The sequence below is a fragment of the Homo sapiens genome, chromosome 7 (genome assembly GCF_000001405.40).
Source record: "Homo sapiens chromosome 7, GRCh38.p14 Primary Assembly".
Lineage (NCBI taxonomy): Eukaryota > Metazoa > Chordata > Mammalia > Primates > Hominidae > Homo > Homo sapiens.
Genome location: NC_000007.14, coordinates 137,152,661 through 137,172,985, shown reverse-complemented (window position 1 = coordinate 137,172,985; position 20,325 = coordinate 137,152,661). Strand labels below are relative to the sequence as shown.

General features: G+C 35.7%; 1 long non-coding RNA gene and 1 pseudogene across 1 annotated transcript in view; one reads left to right on the top strand and one right to left on the bottom strand.

Moving 5' to 3' along the window:
* On the bottom strand, nt 8,338-8,955 carry RPL18P5 (ribosomal protein L18 pseudogene 5; annotated as a pseudogene).
* LOC349160 (uncharacterized) overlaps nt 8,645-20,325 on the top strand; it is a 265,569-nt gene continuing 253,888 nt past the window's right edge. Inside the window, exon 1 of the long non-coding RNA NR_046103.1 lies at nt 8,645-8,865. This is a non-coding gene — a long non-coding RNA (uncharacterized LOC349160). The remainder of the gene's footprint in view (nt 8,866-20,325) is intronic.

The window sequence follows — 20,325 nt, the reverse complement described above, 5'->3', positions numbered from 1 at the left end:
CTTCCACAATGGTTGAACTAGTTTACAGTCCCACCAACAGTGTAAAAGTGTTCCTATTTCTCCACATCCTCTCCAGCACCTGTTGTTTCCTGACTTTTTAATGATTGCCATTCTAACTGGTGTGAGATGGTATCTCATTGTGGTTTTGATTTGCATTTCTCTGATGGCCAGTGATGATGAGCATTTTTTCATGTGTTTTTTGGCTGCATAAATGTCTTCTTTTGAGAAGTGTCTGTTGTGGGGTGGGGGGAGGGGGGAGGGATAGCATTGGGAGATATACCTAATGCTAGATGACGAGTTAGTGGGTGCAGCGCACCAGCATGGCACATGTATACATATGTAACTAACCTGCACAATGTGCACATGTACCCTAAAACTTAACAGTATAATAAGAAAAAAAAATATATATATATTTTTCTTTATTATCTTAACCTGAGGTCTTTAAACAGAATAGAACATTGTGATTACCTAGAGAACAAAAACAAGCAAACATTTCAAACAAAAAAATAATGATGTCAGGACATATCTTTGAACAATTGAACTAGAACAATGTGGCTTTGGGCCAGGAATTATTAGCTGTAAATGCAATTTTGTTACTTACAATATTGGTTTAGAACAAATATTGTCATTCAGGGATGTTGGGCGGGTGTACTCATTGAGCAAACATCTAACTATGCAAGTACACATTGCAATTAGTAAAGTAGATATAAGCCCAGCACTGTAGTCAAAGAATATCACCCTGTCCATATCTATTGTATACTGAAAATAAAAAGTATAATTCCCTTGGGGAACATTTGTCTTCCATGCACTTGCTTTGTTCTATCCCAGTTTATGAAGCAGAGTTTGAAGAATATGCATGATGCAATGAATTATGCCTGGAATAACCAATGTCCTCCCAATCGAGTGCACTCTTACAGTCTTAGACATTATAGTCACTTTAGCTTGGAGATTGTTATGATTAGACTTGTTCTAGAATGTTCTACTCTTGTCTATTTACCAGGATTCAGTACTGAATACGTTTGCCTTTCTTGCCAAGGTTCCTGGACCAGCCTGCATTGTATGATTTTCCCTTCTTGAAACAGAAAATAATACTGACATCAGAATAGAGGTGCAGAAAGGGAAGAGTGGAATAATAAAAACTTTGCTGTTGACTTCACATTTTTGTCTTTAAAGTTGTGGGACACATATATATTGTAAAGTTGTATTTGGTTCTGTGACCTATAATTTGGAAGTAACTCAACTCCTGAAAAATACATGCAAAAAATGACAATAATTTCTTCTTTTTTTTATTCTTTGTAATGTCAATCCCATTACCTCACAAGGTAAGGAAACTTTTGCTCTGATCCTTGGTGAGGCTCCATGTTGGATGATTAATATGTTTTCTTTTTATAAAGCCAAGCAAATGTATTTTCTTTGTACAGTCTTCAATGGATTTGGGAATAGTCCCACGAGAAAACTTGCATTAACATCCAAGCTGTTGTAATTCTTGTGTGACTTTGAACTTAACCTCAATGAACCTAAGTTTTTCTATCAGCAAAAATAGTGACAATAATACTACCTCTCCTAAGCAATTCCTGAGAAATAATCTATGAAAAGCAGTTAGCACTACTTGTGATAGCTAGTAGGTGTTTAAAAAGTATTAGTTAGCATAGTTATTATTAGCTTTTTATATTATATTGTTTTCTGGATTAAAAATTATGTATTTCAACAGTGAAGACAGTATTCTAAATGTCCTTCATCTGGTAATCTTCTGGCTAAAGAGCATTTTTTGTGTGAGAGACCTTGCTCATCTATGGAGGCAGAGACCGTTTTAATTTTTTTCTTTTGCTTTATCCTTAATATCTGACACATCTGTAGGCACCCATATTGTGAATGGCCAGGTAAGGTAATGACTGGATCAATATATAAATCGATATAAATCAATTGAATTGAATATAAATCAATTTATAGAGGTTTAATAGAAAAGTATAAATATTTAGCAGAATTTCAATTTAGTTCTGCTAAATATTTATACTTTCCTGTTAAACTCCGTTTTTTCTAATGAATTCCAGCACCTCTTCTTCAGGTGATACTTAGAAGTGCCCCATCTACCCCATCAAGTCTGTTGGCTACTTCAAATTCATGCATTTTACTTCTTCAGGGGCCTCTTTCCTAAGAAAACATGTTAAATGAAGATTCATCAGCTTCAAAATATAGACAAGATGTATTTAAGTAATGGAGGGAAAGGCTTGATGGCTCTCCAATCTAAAGTGTGTCCAATATATGTATTTTTAAATTATGGGATAATAAAATATTAAGAAGAAATTCCATGTAATTTTCATAGTTATATATCAGCCTCTCACACCATAGGGTGAATTGATTCATTTTTCATTTACGTTCATGTTCTGATTAAATAATTGAACATGCCCTACTCTGAAACACCAGAACAACTCTGGAATACAGCTGAAGGTGCCAACCTTCATTCGACTCTTGTTCAACCCATATCTCTTGGTAGTCCCCTGATAATCATGTTCCTTTCACATCAGTTTCTTCAGGCAACAGAGTATTTCCCTACATGGGTATCACTCCTACTTTATTGGTAAAGCTATAGGAGAGGAAGGAAAAGAGAAAGAAAAACACAGAGCAAAATATCAACAACCCACATTTATTGAATCAACATTTCTGTAGAGGGAATCATAAATAAATTATAATGCTTTCTCCACATAATTCTGATGATCAGTTATAATCATGAAGCTTTCTTTGGGAGCCTTCTAAAATGTATCCATTCAAGGCCTCCAACACTTCCTGAAAATTCAGATTCTGGGGTACATCTGATAACTACACTGAGGAATTGAGAGATTTCATGAGAAAAATACTGCAAAGGAGTACAAGAACTCTCAGTGTTTAGTAAACATCATCAAGGCTTCTAGACCAGCTCAGTTCAACAGAAATATAATGTGAGCCACCAAAGCGAGTAACCTATAATTTAAAAATTTCTAGTAGCCACTTTAAAAAAAAGTAACAAGTAACAGGTGAAATAAATTTTAGTAATATATTTAACCCAATATATCCAGAGTATTATGTTTTCATATTAAAGTATAATTTTTACATAATCTTTTTCATATTTAATCTTTGAAATTTCATGTGTATTTTACACTTACTGCTGATCTCAATTCAGACTAGATCTTAAGTATTCAGGAGCAACATGTGGCTTGTTTGCTGTATCGGAAAGCACGGCTCTAGAGACAGGTAAATGATTAGAAGTAAAGCCTAATAAGCACAGTATAGAACACAGCATTATTTAAATTTTCACTATGCACCTCAATCCTCTATCCTCAACATTTGAATTGTTTTAGGAAAATATTCTACAGAAAAGTAAAACTCAAAACCAAACATGCTTGAGTAAATTAGAATTTGAGAATGTTCAGACAGTCCCATTGCTCTTCGTCAAGCGTCCTCTCTCTCACAATCCCTGTATCGTAGCCACAGGTGTTGGATGTAGCCCAAGTTGAGAATCCCAGCTGTTTCACAGGGGCTCTGGCAAGTTGACAGCTGCTTTATTACCAGAGCTTGAAATTGAGGCCAATAAACTTAGCACACAGGGACCTGAAGTCCGGTTTGCGGAGACAAGGCCACCATCATGTGGAACGTGACGGAACTGCAGTAAGATTCACGTTCCCATTGCATGGAGAAGACTCAAATGACCTAAGTCATCAGTGCATCCCCACTGGGACAACACTTCAAGAATGCCTAATTAACATACCTAAGAAACGTGCAAAACCTTGGAGATCCAGAGAAGGTTCAGAGAAGGCCAATTCCTATTTCAAAAGAAACAAAAGACAGACTGAAATAGCTAAATCATGCAAGGTCAAAATCAATAAAAATCATAAAATGTAAAATGAGGACTTACACACATCCACCTGCTGAAACCAAGGCTCACTGAATAAGAGTTCAAATATAATATTGGGTTAAATCTACGATTTTGATTGGAAAACTTTTAAAAAATCCTTATTGTAAGAGGAGATAGATTTTAAAATAAAGTACTATAGGATGATGAGTTTATCTTTTTGAAGAATAGGCCAGTATAGTAAATTATTAGGAAGGTTTGAAATGACAAGATGTATTTTGAATGGCATATTGCTTTGGCAATATTAAGGAATTTAGACTGTTTCTATGCCAGTTCTATATAGTCTGTCTTCTGGTTTCATAACACCCTTACATTGTACATGTGTAAGACAATGAGAAAGTTTCAAAATATTCAAACATATAAAAGATAGGCACATATTATTGTGAAGTTGATAAAATGGTCAGGGTTTGTCTGTTGATGAAAATGAAAGACCATCATGTAATACTAAAAAACATGGTACCTGCCAGGTGCGGTGGCTCATGCCTGTAATCCCAGCACTTTGGGAGGCCGAGGCGGGCGAATCACGAGGTCAGGAGATTGAGACCATCCTGGCTAACACAGTGAAACTCTGTCTCTACTAAAAATACAAAAAAATTAGCCGGGCGTGGTGGCAGGCACCTGTAGTCCCAGCAACTCGGGAGGCTGAGGCAGGAGAATGGTGTGAACCTGGGAGGTGGAGCTTGCAGTGAGCCAAGATCGTGCCTCTGCACTCCAGCCTGGGCGACAGAGCGAGACTCCGTCTCAAAACAACAACAACAACAACAACAAAAACAAACAAACAAAAAAAGTGGAACCACAGAGAATATTAGCGTGTTTTCACTGTATCTTCCACTGAAAGACCTGTGTTTTCCTTTCCCAGAAACAAGATCCCCAAACACACGATATTTGCTCCCTGAAAACTTCAGAGTGTATTACTAACCCTATGTTTTCTGAGCCTGTAGAAAAGATGATGTGAGCAGGAGCCAATATGGGTTTATTAATTAAGAATATGTAAGAACAAATTATTCTGTTTTGAAAAGGTTGACATGTAGGGTATGATAATTTCTACACAGCATTTAACTAAAGGTTACTCTTGTTTCTTGGTTAATAATATGGCGAAGTATTGTCTGGATCACCGTCCTACAAATTTGAGCAATTTTTCCAGACAAGTTTAGTTCTTTTTGTACTCAGGGCCATTTCTAATAGAATATTTGTAACCTCTCTGATTTATCTTGTCCTTTTAATATTATAGCAATGACATGACTTAATGCTTAGAAAACATGGTTATCAAATTTGCAGATGACATAAAATTCAGAGACTAGCTAATATGATAGATGTCACAATCAAATTTTAAAATGATTGTGCAGGCTTAATACAAAATGATGACATTTAACAAAGATAAATGATCTTGCATTTTAGTTAAAACAATAAATTTTATAACTAGATTGGGAAGATCTTTCTTTGAAGAAATTTATATAAAAATGATCTGAAACTTTTGTTTATCACAAAATACAAGTTTGGTAACACCCACACAATTTTAGTTTACTAAGATAGACTTCTGGGGTCCAAACCAAATTTGGTGATAATCCCCCTGAACTCCGTCTTTAACTGACAACATTTTGTTAATTTCAGGGCCACATTTTGAGAAAGAAACTGACAAATTAAATGGTATATGGAGAAAGAATTTTGAGATTTATAGTGCTGTAGAAGCCACTTATAAAAAGATGCTTTTAAAGAAAATGTAGTTATTTTCAGGACAGCATAGTGTTTATGTTCATAAATTATGAAATAAAAGAGATCTGAGTTTAAGTCCCAGAATAGCCATTAACCTTGGCAATCTGACCTTGGGTAAGGTGTTTAATGTTTTTCAGCCTCAGTTTCTGCATCTGTAAATTGTTTATAATAATGATGACAAAGAGGATATATGCTAGCAGAAGTTAGATTTTTTTTTTTTTTTTTTTGAGACGGAGTCTCGCTCTGTCGCCCAGGCTGGAGTGCAGTGGCGGGATCTCGGCTCACTGCAAGCTCCGCCTCCCGGGTTCACGCCATTCTCCTGCCTCAGCCTCCCAAGTAGCTGGGACTACAGGCGCCCGCCACTACGCCCGGCTAATTTTTTTGTATTTTTAGTAGAGACGGGGTTTCACCGTTTTAGCCGGGATGGTCTCGATCTCTTGACCTCGTGATCCGCCCGCCTCGGCCTCCCAAAGTGCTGGGATTACAGGCGTGAGCCACCGCGCCCGGCCAGAAGTTAGATTTTAAAGAGACACTGCAAAGTAGATATATTCCGTTTAGCTTTGTGTGATAAAACCACTGGAGGAAAGGGAATTTTGTTTAGTATATTGTAATAATTTGAATTACCCAATTGAGTAGTTGAGTTAATCTATTAAATCACCCAAATTATCTGTATAGGTAATGAGCTCTTGGCCACTTGAATAGCCACTGAAGCTATTCAAAGGTGTCTCAGTTAAGAGCTTGCAGGGGATTTCTGCTGTTAGTTGGAGGTTTGAGGATATATATGACAATATTTATGACCAGTAATTTCAATGAGGAAGTTGCACAACCAAGAGACAAGCAGGTGACCCGCCTCTGAGTCTCTGAGTCTAATGAAAATAGACACACACCTTCAAACAATTACATTACCATGTGTTAAGGAATAAGCATGGAGCACTAAAACAGAACAAAGGAAGAGCACCTGCGATATCCACAGTTTACCTGTCTGATAGGATTTCTTTAGCTCCATTGCTCATTTTTGTTCTTATTTGGAATGTCACCCTTTAGAATGAAAACAACAGAAAACCTTCAAAGTATTTATTGTCCTGCAACACATTCTCTTCTCCCAAATCTTATTCTGGCATTCCGTACATTTCTTTCTCCCACAAACCCTTCCTGGGCTCTTCCTCTTTAAGTCTCCCCACCTCATATTCATAAAGAAGTAGAAGGAAAAACAAAAATGCAAAAACTAACCTACATCCTGTTTTCTCTCAAGGCCTTCATTTTTTCTTAATAGACCAAATGTCATTGTTTGCTTAGGAGTAGGAAACAGCCATTTTGGGCCTATAATGGAGATCTAAAATCTCTTTTGCCAACAGCTTTTTCTAGTTATGTGACGTTAATATAGTTTTATTTTCCCCGCTGATTTCTGAGCTTACATTTTGACTGGACTTGAATGTTCTACAGCTGCTTTGCTTCTTTGGAAAAAACACAACCAGTTTTCTAGCTTTATTCCCAGGTTGTATGGGTATCCAGTCCTATCCTGTCTCTCGGACTGCTACTCCTCTAGGTGTTCAGTCATAGGGGCCACACCATAACATTCCATTTTGGAAGGGACAGAGGGAAATTATCTGTTTCTCTTAACGTAACCATTTAATTTATTGTTTTGGGGGGATATTTGTGAAGAGGGTGACTTGGCTGCTGATATCTCTCTCTGTAAAAAACATATTTCTAGCATTTGAGAGCACTCTGCATTTGCATGCAAAACAAGAGAAGCTCACCTCTTTGTACAGCCAAGTGGGATTGCTACAGACTTAGGATGCTGCTGCTTAAAACGGATTTTTACCTAAGCCGTATCATATCTTGTTTTTCCACTTCTTCCTTTGACTGCTGAATCCATTCCACATTCAGTGTACAGATTGACTTGGTAATAAAGATAGATAATCAATCACTAAGCTGGCAGAAAGACAAGGAAGGCATCCCGGCAGAGCCATCTGATCCCTGAGGAGAGAAGGATGTATGGAAGTTGGTGGCTGGCCAGAAGGAAACATTCCCTTGAGCATGAAACAGGGACATTTTTCTCTTTGTACAGTTCATATTATCAGTTTACATTTGAATCCTTGAAGTATTACAAGAGTTCCTGAGCAGTAATTTACCTTCCAGATGTTTTGGTTATTTTTTTTTCAATCTTGGTTTAATTTCTAGGTTTATTTTCTAAGTTATCAAAGCTTATTGCATGATAATGTCTGCATTTTGCAATTTATCAAAGCTTTTTTTATTTTTTGAGCAAAAGAGGTGTGATTTTTTTTGTATGATCAGTCTTTGCCAACATACCAAGGACTCGTAAATAAATGTTCCTTAATTTTCATTACTTAATATGACTAAAGGAGATGGGTAGTGTGAAGAGGAACTGGATAATTTTAAGCCGTGGCTAACACAAAAACCATAGCCAAATTGAATGATTCTGTAGGTGCACTAACCAGTTTACAGAATAATGTAACTAAAACAGCATAAACCTGGGGAAGACATCCTACAGCCCTTTTAGTTTCTCAATTCTCTTTGTTTCTCTAGTAAATTTTCTGTTAATTCATCTCGGGTTTGCGAATACACAGTTTTACTGCATTCAAATGGTATTGAGTTTGCTTTGTTGTTTCCTGACACTATAGCAGTAGTGCAAGTAAAATCAGATTTTGTTGTTTTGAACATAGCTAGATTTTATATTTTTAACATTTTCTTTTTCTTTTCTTTTCTTTCTTTTTCCATCATCCAAAGTCTTTAATAAGAGGATAGGATCTATAGTTTTTGTAGCCTCGGCTGGCCAGTCGGCCTCTGGTGCGCTCGAACTTCCGGCCCTTGGAGCGGATGTATGGTTTGGTGTGGCTGTACGGGGTTCCCGGTGCCTTGCCAAAATGCCGGTACACCTCTCAGCCCTTGCGAGGACCAGAGAGCAGGACGGTGCCACAGCCTTTCGGGGCATCAGGGGCCAGCTGGTCAAAAGTGAGGATCTTGCCCCCGGCCCCGAGGATGCCGCTGCGGGCCTGGCTGGTCATGCGCAGTGCACACACCTTCAGTTTGGGCACCTCCTGAACCCGTACGTCATCCGTTATGGTCCCCACAGCCACAGCCTTTCTGTTTTCCCGGTCAGGAAGCTTTATGTTCTGGATCATCCAGGAGAGGGACAGAGGTGGTCGGTTGGTGCGACTCATAAACAACCTCTTCAGCACAACCTGGTTGAATGTGGAGTTGTTCCGTCTGACCAGAAACCTGTACAGTTTGACCAACAGCCTCAGGTAGACCAATATCCTGGCTTTTGGGCTCCTTGCGCTGAACCTATCAGTCCTTGTTGTGGTGGATGTCAACTCCCATGATGGCGCCTTCTGTTTTGTGTGTTATTATTTTTTCCCTTGAGCACGGATAGGAGTTTCTCTTTTGCCCTGTAACTAAAAGAAAAAAGTTACATAGATTAAAGTGTGGCTTTCTTTTCACTGAGTTAATCTGGCATGTGATGATCCCACCTCATTTTTACATTTTTTTAATGTTTTATTTTTAATTATTATGTGTACATAGTAGGTATATATATTTACGTGGTACATGTGATGTTTTGATATAGGCATACAGTGTGTAAAAATCACTTCAGGGCAATTGGGGCAACCATCGCCTCAAGTATTTATCATTTCTTTGTGATAGGAACATTAGAGTTCTACTCTTTTAGGTATTTATAAATATGTAGTAAATTACTGTTGACTGTAGTCACTCAATTGTGCTACCAAATACTATCTAACTATATTTTTGCACCCAGTAATCATCCCCACTCCCCGAGTCCTTTCCCTCTACTACCCTTCCCAGCCTTTGGTAACTATCATTCTACTCTCTATCTCCAGGAGTTCAATTGTTTTAATTTTTAGCTCCCACAAATAAGTGAGAACATGTGAAGTCTGTGTTTCTGTGCCTGGCTTTTTTTTCACTTCACACAATATCCTCTAGCCTCATCCATGTTGTTGCAAATAACAGGATTTTATTCTTTTTATTGCTGAACAATAGTCCATTGTGGATAAATACTACATTTTGTTTATCCATTCATCTGTGGATGGACACTTAAGTTGATTCCAAATCTTGGCTATAGTGAAGAGTGCTGCAATGAACATGAGAGTGCAGTTATCTCTTCAATATATTGATTTTATTTTTGGGGGATATATACCTAGAAGTGAGAATCCTGGATCACATGATAGTTCTATTTTTAGTTGTTTTGAGGAACCTCTATAGTGTTCTCCACACAGAACATTTATGTTTTTCTTTTCTTTTCTTTTTTTTTTGAAACGGAGTTTCACTCTTTCACCCAGGCTGGAGTGCAGTGGTGTGATCTTGGCGCACTGCAACCTCTGCCCCCTGGGGTTCAAGCGATTCTCCTGCCTCAGCCTCCAGAGTAGCTGCCCGCTGCCACACCCTGCTAATTTTTGTATTTTTAGTAGAGATGGGGTTTCACCATGTTGGCCAGGCTGGTCTCAAACTCCTGACCTCAGGTGATCTACCCACCTCTGCCTCCCAAAGTGCTAGGATTACAGGCGTGAGCCACCACACCCAGCCACATTTATATTTTTCTAATTGTTTGTTTGATTTTTAGCTAAGGAAATAGCAATTGTGTTTTTTTGTTATTGTTTTAGATTCCATTCTTTTTTGCATATTGAGGAACAACTGTTATCCTTAGTTTGCATCTTTCTTATTTCTTCTCATTATCTATTGTGTTCTTCATTGTTTTCTCTTTCCCTCTGGCTTATGGGAAACTTGTCAAGTTTGACCAGTATGTCACCAACTCAATATTCTACAACGCCAATTCTGCTTCTTATTGCTGCCAAAGAAGATTGATATTTGTCTTTTCAGCTGTGTTTTCAATTTCTGTGAAATTATTTCTTATCCCACCCGTCTCTCATCCATTGTACCTTGTTATATCCTTGAACTAGCCTTTGCTCTCTTTTTGGTTTTCTTACTTGTTTCATAAAAGTATTTTTATTTAATTTCATAGAAGTAGACTGCTTTGTAGTTGTGTGTGCGTGTGTTTCAGGATGCACCTAAATTTGTAGAGGTTACTCTTTCTATAAAATTCTTTAAGTTGAAATCAATTTTTAAAAACCTCAATATTTTTATAGACTCCATGCAATAGTAGATATTTAAATTTTCCATTCCTTCATCTAGAAATAAGAGTTATTAGGCCGGGCGTGGTGGCTCACGCCCATAATCCCAGTACTTTGGGAGGCCGAGACGGGGGGATCACGAGGTCAGGAGATCGAGACCATCCTGGCTAACACCGTGAAACCCCGTCTCTACTAAAAATACAAAAAATTAGCCGGGTGTGTTGGCGGGCACCTGTAGTCCCAGCTACTTGGGAGGCTGAGGCAGGAGAATGGCGTGAACCCGGGAGGCGGAGCTTGCAGTGAGCACAGATCGCGCCACTGCACTCAAGCCTGGGTGACAGGGTGACAGAGCGAGACTCCGTCTCAAAAAAAAAAAAAAAAAAAAATAAGAGTTATTTTCCAGACACATTTTTTTCCAGGTACAAAATGCCTTCTCTATCCTATCTCCAAAAGGGATTTTTTTTTTTTTTTTTTTTTTTTTTTGCTTCATAGTTGGAAGCCTGAAGTTTCAAACTCTGTTCCAAGTGCCTAGCGGAATTTTATAATAATAATAGCTAACATATACATAGCGTTCACCATATTCTAGGCATTGTTCCAAGACTTTACATATTTTCATTCATTTGATCCTCCCAAAAGCCCTATTAGGTAGATGCTAATATTTTCCCTATTTTACAGATAAGAAAATTTAGGAATAAGGAGTCCAAGTAACCTTTGGATACCACATGGCTGATAAGTGGGAGAGCCAGGATCATAACCCAGGATGTTTTAGCCTTAGACTCTACCTCCTTATCTTACTGCCTCCTTAGACTCTACCTCCTTATCTTAGACTTTACCTCCTTATCTTACTACCTTAGACTCTACCTCCTTATCTTAGACTCTACCTCCTTATCTTACTACCTCCTTACTATCTTACTATAACTTCTCTACTGTAGCTTATGTTCGTGTGTGTGTGTGTGTGTGTGTGTGTGTTTGTTTTCCATATTGAAGGTTCATAACCTTTTTGGATCTCAGTTATCTCAATGAAAAAACAAACGAAGTACTCACTAATGTGCATTCAAAATTTTGCATACAGTCTTATATGATCTTGTATACTATAGATCTCTGGTTCCCCTGGGTTTTGATTCTCTGCTCTAATGGATCAAGTGCACTCTGAACACCCCAATGCCAGGGCTGTTCCTGATGCTCTTGAAGATTCCTCAAAATATGTCATCCATATTCCCCTTACATCCAGATTAATTGTTTTCTGGAAATTGTATCCCACTAGCTGAAAGAGAGATCTTGGCCAGATAAGAAGAGGAATGACAGTCAAATAACCTGGAAACAAAGTACTCATGAGATAAGGAAATTTTTGACTCACTTTCTGGGGATTATTGATTCAAGGGGGTAAACAAGGTGACAGCGTATTAACGTTCTCTCAGATTACTCAGAAAATCTTGTATTCTTTCTAGTAATTTTGTGGCAGTTTGTAACAAGTCATATGTTTCATTAATTACAAGAACAGTGGGAAAAATCTGTGGTTTCAGTTTTACTGTGTTGTGAATGTGTACACTGTTTCTCATGATCTCATAAACATATTAGTAGAAATGAAGGCAATCACTGCTCACAAGGAAGAATCCAGGTTTCAAGGGGCCTAGAGCTTTTGCAATCTTAAGGATCATTTTAGGTTCGAATACTAAATTATGAGTATCAATTAGGTATAAAAGTGAATATTTATTTAGAAAGAGAAAGGAATCACAGCAATTAAGCATTAAAAAGCTGACAACGGTTGATTAAATAATCATGATTTTTCATTATGGAGGTTGAGGTCAGCCTTCTGCTTGTCAGTTTTTGACGTTTCTGGTTAAGCGAGTCATGCAACATCTATGTTTACTGCTCATTCATCTTGCAAGTAGAAACATTGTGTATAGACATTTGTATATGTACCATATATCAGCTAGGCACTCACAGGGTATAAATGTTATAATGCAAGTTATATTTTTTCTTTTTACACTGAGCAAAGAACCATATGTAGCAATAAAGCCATTTGTTCAATAGAACTATATGATCATAAAATTTTAGAGCAAAGATGGATATAGTAGAGTGGATATGACTATATCAGTGACGTTTTTGATTTCAGTATGAGTGAAAGAATGTTAAACACTGTCATCAAAAGTGGATTGTTTAGTATTACAACTAGACTAAGTTAGATATCAAGTAATCCAGATACAAGTTTATTGCTATAAGATGAACTTTTTAGTTTTTTTATGTTTAGTTTTGAAAGTAATTTTAACATTTGCATTATGATGAGAATTTTTGCTTATTCAAAGCTATGACCTTACTTGATTTATATTTTAAAATATACTATTTACCATCAAAATATTTGAAGATGTTATTTCTTTTAATTATAAATAATAGAACTAAATATGAAAATTTCAAGATAAAACTTTAAAAGACAGATGTTTTACGGAGCACAAACGTATTTCTGATTTGTAGAACTAGTGACTTTTACAGCTGTCCTTCAGCCTTTTTCCATTTAAAAGTTGTCAGGCAAACAAGTTTAAATTGTAAAAAAAATGTAATAAAAGACAGGCAAACCTCAAGCCTTTATTTTGGCTTTGTTTCTGTATATTCTTCCATATTAATACTTTCTTACGTCTATTCTCTATAAAATAAATGAAAAATCTGGTGTATGGACAAAACAGAAGTCAAGCATCCAATATTACAAGAAAATTCAGCTCCATCCTTCTTCTATCAGTTAAATTTCTTCTTGTCCCCATTTTCAAAGCACTGACAGTAAGTACAGGACAAAGAGCTATGGTAGTTCAGACATTTTAGAAAAAGTTCTTGTTATTTCACTATCTTTTCCCATTAAAGCTACTGTAATTCTCAGCTATTCTACAGCTAAACAACAGAAGGCAGTGGTGGTTTAAAGCAGTTTTAGAAGATTTAGTAGCAATTGGTGTTTAGCAATTGGTCTCACACTGGTCTTTGAAATGCCAAAAGTAAAGCTCCAAGAAAATAAATAATTCCTTCTGTTTTTTAACTGAATAAATATTTATTATGAATCTTAGTGATGTTGTGGGAGATTCAAAAGAAATATTACAGGTGTTTAGAGGCTCGTTAGAAAAAAAGACACATAGGAAACCAAAGTTAACAATTCAAGATTTCAGTCGGGTGCAGTAGCTTACTCCTTTAATTCCAGTACTTTGGGAGGCCAAGGCAAGTGGATCGCTTGAGTTCAGGAGTTCAAGACCAGCCTGGTCAACATAGTGAAATCCTGTCTCTACTAAAAATACAAAAAGTAGTCAGGCATGGTGGTGCATGCCTGTAGTATCAGCTACTGGGGAGGCTGAGGCAGGAGAATCACTTGAGCCCAGGAGGTGGAGGTTGTAATAAGCCGAGATTGCACCACTGCAATCCAGCCTGGGCAACAGAGGGAGACTCCGTCTAAAAAAAAAAAAAAAATCCAAGATTTCATTCATCAAATGTGTATTTCATGAAGGACACTGTACTAGGTTGGGAATGCAATGATGGAAAAAGACAAATTGCCAGCCCTTGAGTCTCATGGTCTGATGGAGATTAATAAAGACCTTGACCTCAAGGTGGGGCTGATTGTGAGAAGGGATGGGTCAAGAGCTCTATTCACATTTGGTTACTAGGGAGTGAAAATGGGTGTGCACCAGGAGTGATAAGAATGAGGTCTTCAAAGCAGGAATTTCTGCTGAGACTTTGAAAGGTCTAAGTGACATGTTTGGTATAGCTTGATGATGGAAATTTCAATGCCAGAATAGAGTCTGGATTTGAGCTGAAAATAAGGACCTTTTCCAGTTTTGAGTAGAGGAAAATAACATTAAGATATTGAGGACATACATTTTGATACTCCAAAATCCATTAAAACACATTAGGTGAATATGGAAAGTCATGTCATCAATAACATTCTTTTTCAAAGTTTCTTTTGATAGGAGAATTACACTTACCAAAGGGAAAAGGCTTAAAAGCTTACAAAATAGAATTCACGACTTTAAGGTCAATAATTCTACATTCGGCAGTCAACTAAAATTTGAGACAGTACTGTCATATGCCAGGCACTTGCCAGTACACAACAGTAAACAAAATAAAGGAGGGGTCTTCTCTCATAGAGTTCAGGAGTCTAGTAAAGTTAGCCACTATTTGTGTGCTATGCTAAGCAACTGATAATGCATTTTAATTACCATTGAGGGTAAAGCACCATTATTTCTGTTTTACACAAGAGGTTAAGAAGCTTGCCTATGGTCTTACAGCTAGAGACAAAGGTAGAGATTTTCAATATTTTAGTATGCTGTCTACAGCAGAGCTGTGGCTTCAGAAATTTACTAGTACACATTTAATTCCCTTTAACTGGGTTATTTTTAAAGGCTATTTAAAAGCAGAAAATTGTTAACCATGGCTTCTCTTCCAGCAGTGGCATGGGAAGGGGCAGCAGGGTTTATGGAGGAGTGTTTGAATATATTACATATACATATATACACACGCATATATATGTACATATATGAATAAATTTCAAAACTCTGTGTCTTTTGAGAATTTGATTATGTCTAGGTGAACATATCTTTAATATATTTGGGGTTCTCTGGGCCTCATGGAATCAGATATTAATTACTCCAGATTTGGAAAGTTTTCTTTAGATACACTTTCGGCCTCTTTCTATGTTCTTTCTGAAATACCCAACACATGTATATAGGTTCTCTTGACAGTGTCTTATAGTTTCTTCATTATTTTTTATTTTTAGTTTTTGTTCCTCTTACTGGGTAATTTCAAATGACCTATCTCAAGTTCATTGATTCTTTCTTTTTGAGAGTCTACTGTTGAAGCTCTTAATGGAATTTCCTGGTTTACCTATTGTGTTCTCTAGCTCCAGAATTTAATGATTTCTATCTCTTTGTTTTACTTCTCATTTTGTTTATGTATTGTTTTTCTGATGTCATGTAGTTCTCTATATGTATTCTCTTGCAGCTCATTTGAGCTTTTTCAGTAGGATTATTTTGAATTATTTGTCAGGCAGTCCATACATCTCCATTTTTAGAGTTGATTACTGATGCTTTGTTATGTTTCTTTGACAGTGTTACATTTTGTTGATCATTCATGATTCTTATGGTCATGCATTACTGTCTGTACATCTGAAAAAGTGGGTACTTATTCCAGTCTTTACAGATTGCCTTCAGTAGAGAAAACCCTTCATCAGTCAGCTTATTCAGAGATTCTGTTCACACAATATGGTGTGATCAATGGCCAGGCTAGCCTGTTACCTGGTTTGTAGCAGTGGACTTAGAGCCTATATGTTAAGAGCCAGCCTGAAGTGAAGATTTACAGGTGCTTGAGCCTGACCTGGATGGATTCTAAGTCTTCAGATACCAGCCTGGAGTATGAGGCTGTGGGGACCTGCCTATTACTGAGTTTTACTGAGGTGGGGCTTGTGTTGGGGTAAGAGGAAAATCTGCTTCTCATTTCATTCTCCTTTCCCATGCAATAGGTATCTGAGCCATACTGCCTGGGATGAGTGAAAGAATAATGTGGGTAATGAGAAACTGTTTTTATTCCCTTCAATCAGTCTTTTCTTATTTATTTGTTACACCCAGATGCTGTAATCTTTCACTTGGTTTTCTTAGCTCTTGTGAAGGTATTATTTTGTGTTGATAGTTGTTCAAATTGATATTTTTGTAAAGTGCTGAGCACTAGACTATCCTATTCTACCACCTTGCTGACATCATTACTTATCTTGGTGTCACACAGCTCTATCAGACATCTGAGGTCCTGTTAGAGGCAGGTTTCTCATTCAGGTGAAGGTATCTGAAAAACCCTTATGCAGACTGTTGCGTGCCACTATTTTCCCTCTTCAGATGGGTTAAGGATGCCCTACTTTCAAGTCATCCTGGAGTAGCATCTGCCACAGCTGGCCCTGTCACAAATGTTCGGTGCTCCACAGGGTACACCAGCCTAGGCAGAGGCCACAGGGGAAAAGCCAAACTGCTCCTGGAAGAAGTACTTGGTAGCTTTAATTCTGGAACTATATCTATTTATCTATCTAAATACTTGGTAGCTTAATTCTGGAACTGTCCTCTACCTATTTATCTATCTATCCATCCATCATATATCTCTTTACTAAATATTAGTAATAAGATTAACTTTTATTGAATTTAATAAGCCTCTGTGCCTTTTCATAAAAATAATATTTTATATTGAAACTAAATGTATTTTAACTTGAAGAGTTTACTTTAATATCTAATAGGCACAAAGAAATTTGTTTAACTTACTTTTTAAAAATATTATCTGATTTACCAGATATCTGCATGTTCATGACCTGCTTTTCTTCTCAAATGAAAACAGCTTCATTGTATTTATTGTGACATATGTTTATTGTAAAGTTCAAACTATAAAAATATGAATAATAAAAAACTGCCTGAAGCCCACCAGTTATTAATTTATGATAGTAATAAATATCTAATAGATAGATGAGTGTGCATACACATTTATACATATTTAAAACTATAGTAGTTATATTTTGTAACCTGTTTTATACACTGTCTTTTTAATTCAAAACTGTTACATAAGACATTTAATGTCAGATGATAGAGATTTACATTGTCATTTTCAATGACCATAGAGAAATGTATTGTTTAAAATATTTAAATAAGCTGATCTTATACTTTTTCAAAATGAAACAACTTGAGAGTGAAAGGGAACCCTATTTACAGTCATCATGAAACAAGAGCCATGAACTGGAATTGTCCTAGGAAAACCAGGATACATGACTGGACTCTATTTAACCAATTCCATAATGCTGGACATTCAAATTGTTTCTAGTTCTTGAAACATTTTGAATGTGATGAATTATCTGCATGTTATCTGCAAATTTGCATGCTTATCTGATCAGCAATTTAGGAAATGTACCTGTATGTGACTTCTGAGTCAAAGGATATATAAACTAAAACATTGGTAAATGTTTCCAAAATACTTTTCAAAAGTTTATGCATATTTATACTCCCATTAAAAGTACCAGGGAGGATATTTCCCTCACTTTATCTTCAAAGTAGATAAATCAGTTTTCTTAATCTTTGCCAAATTGATAGGTAAAAAGTAATGTCTTGTTTCTAATTTTTATGTTTTGTTTTTGATTAGTAAATATTTTCTTTTTTTTTTTTTACTACTTAGTGCCAATTTTTATGTATATGGCAATGTATGAGTAATAAGGGGTTAAAAGAGAAAGAGAAAGTGTCATCTGTTCTTATACTTCACCCATTTTTCTTTCTAACATACTTTTTTTTGGTTTTCATTGATTGTAGGAATTTTTGTGTAAATGGATATTTATCCTTTTATGATGTAGTATTATAATTTTTAAGTACATAGGCTTTGGAATCAATCCAAGCTTAGTGCAAACTGTAGTGCAAGAATTACTAGCTCTAGGACTTTGAACAAGCTTACTGAGATTTATGTATCTTTCATTTGTAAAATAGGAATACAGAGTTATTGAAATGATTAAATTAAATGATGCCTATAAATGATAAAAAAACATAAAATAATAATGATAATAAAGGTAACTACTAAATTCACTGTTATCAAAATTATATTGCAGGTGTATATTTCCATTTTGTCAGTAGCACCTTAAATTTTTTAAGCTACTTACGTAATTCAAAATTTCTTGCTCTTCTTTTAAAAGTCAGTAGGATGTTCAACATTTTTCTTTACATTTTCTTACCTTAGATGTCATGTCTTATAGAGGACACCACTAATAAGAAAATCATTATCTATATTTTCTTCTGAAGACTTTATGTTATGATTTGTGCATTTTGAGTCAACTGAAATTGAATTTGCTATTGTAAGTAAGATAGAGCTACAGTTTTTTCTTTTTTTTTTGCCCTAGATGACTACCCAGTTGCCCCAGCCACTATTGAAAAGTCAGTTGCCTTTCTCATATTGAACTAACAGTTTTGTCATACACTAAGTTATATTTGAGTCTATTTCTGAACTCTCTGCCCATCAGTTTATTTACTTCTGTTCAATTGCCATACGTTCTCCGTCTCATTCTACTGCTTGTATTGCAATCTCCCTCCACACTTCCGTATGCTTTCCAACTGTACCAGACTCTAATTTCCCAAATATGTCTTCCTATATTTCACACTTTCATACCTAATACTGTCATTCAGTTTGCCTTAAGAGTGTTCTACTCCCTTCCAACACATACTTATCATGTAGCTTTTTGGCGTCTTCGAAGCTTCAGTACAAGCATCACTTCTACTAAGCAGTCTTTCCTTAGAATCTAGTCATGTTTTGTTATCCTTTTTCTGTACTCTCATGGAACCATATCAATATTTCTACCAGGATAGTTTTCACATGGTAATCCTTGATTTACACATATTGATTGTATGTCTTCTCCCCTAGAAAGTGTCCAGAGACTGTGCCTTATTCAACTTGTACCCCCAGTGCCTGAAGCATAGGAGATGTCCAATAAATATATTTCTATGAATGAGTTATTTTGGTTTATTAAATGTTGTAAAATGTTCAGTTAAAGGAAAACATGTTGTTCCCTTTAATAACTCAAAGCAGTTTCAACTAAAGGCCTGAACCACATAGTAAATTATAGAAACAAGAGAAGTGAGCAAAAGTTCCACTTGTGTTAATTTTGCTACAGTTGGAAGAAGAAGTGGGTGATTTCATGGCCAAAAGTAACATCTTTCTACTAAGGAACAAGCAAACACACACACACACACACACACACACACACACACTCGCACACATATACATACATACATATATATGTATGTGTATATATATTCATATATATGTATATATATATTCATGTATATGTGTATATATATTCATGTATATGAGTATATATATTCATATATGAGTATATATATTCATATATGTATATATATACATGTATATGAATATATACATATATGAATATATATACATGTATATGAATATATATACATATATGTATATACTCATATATATGTATATATACACATATATGTATATATACTCATGTATGTATATATACTCATATGTGTATATATACTCATATATATGTATATATACTCATATATATGTATATATACTCATATATACGTATATATACTCATATATGTGCATATATATACATATATACACATATATGAATATATATTCATATATGTGTATATATATTCATATACATATATTCATATATATGTATATATATTCATATATGTGAATATATATACACATATATGTATATATACATATATATGAATATATATACATATATGTGTATATATATTCATATATGTGTGTATATATTCATATATGTGTGTGTATATATATTCATATATGTGTGTATATATATTCATATATGTGTGTGTATATATATTCATATATGTGTGTGTATATATATTCATATATGTGTATATATATGAATGATATATGCTCAGGGGAATATATATATTCATATATACATGAATGAGATATGCTCAGGGGAAAGGAGCAGGAACAAGGTGCATCTGTCCACTATATTTTACTTTTTTGATTTTGTTAATGGCCCTGAAAACAAAATTCAGATATTGGAGCAAAGAATATGAATTTGATGAAAAATTTTATATTATTTTAACGGGGAACAAATGGAAA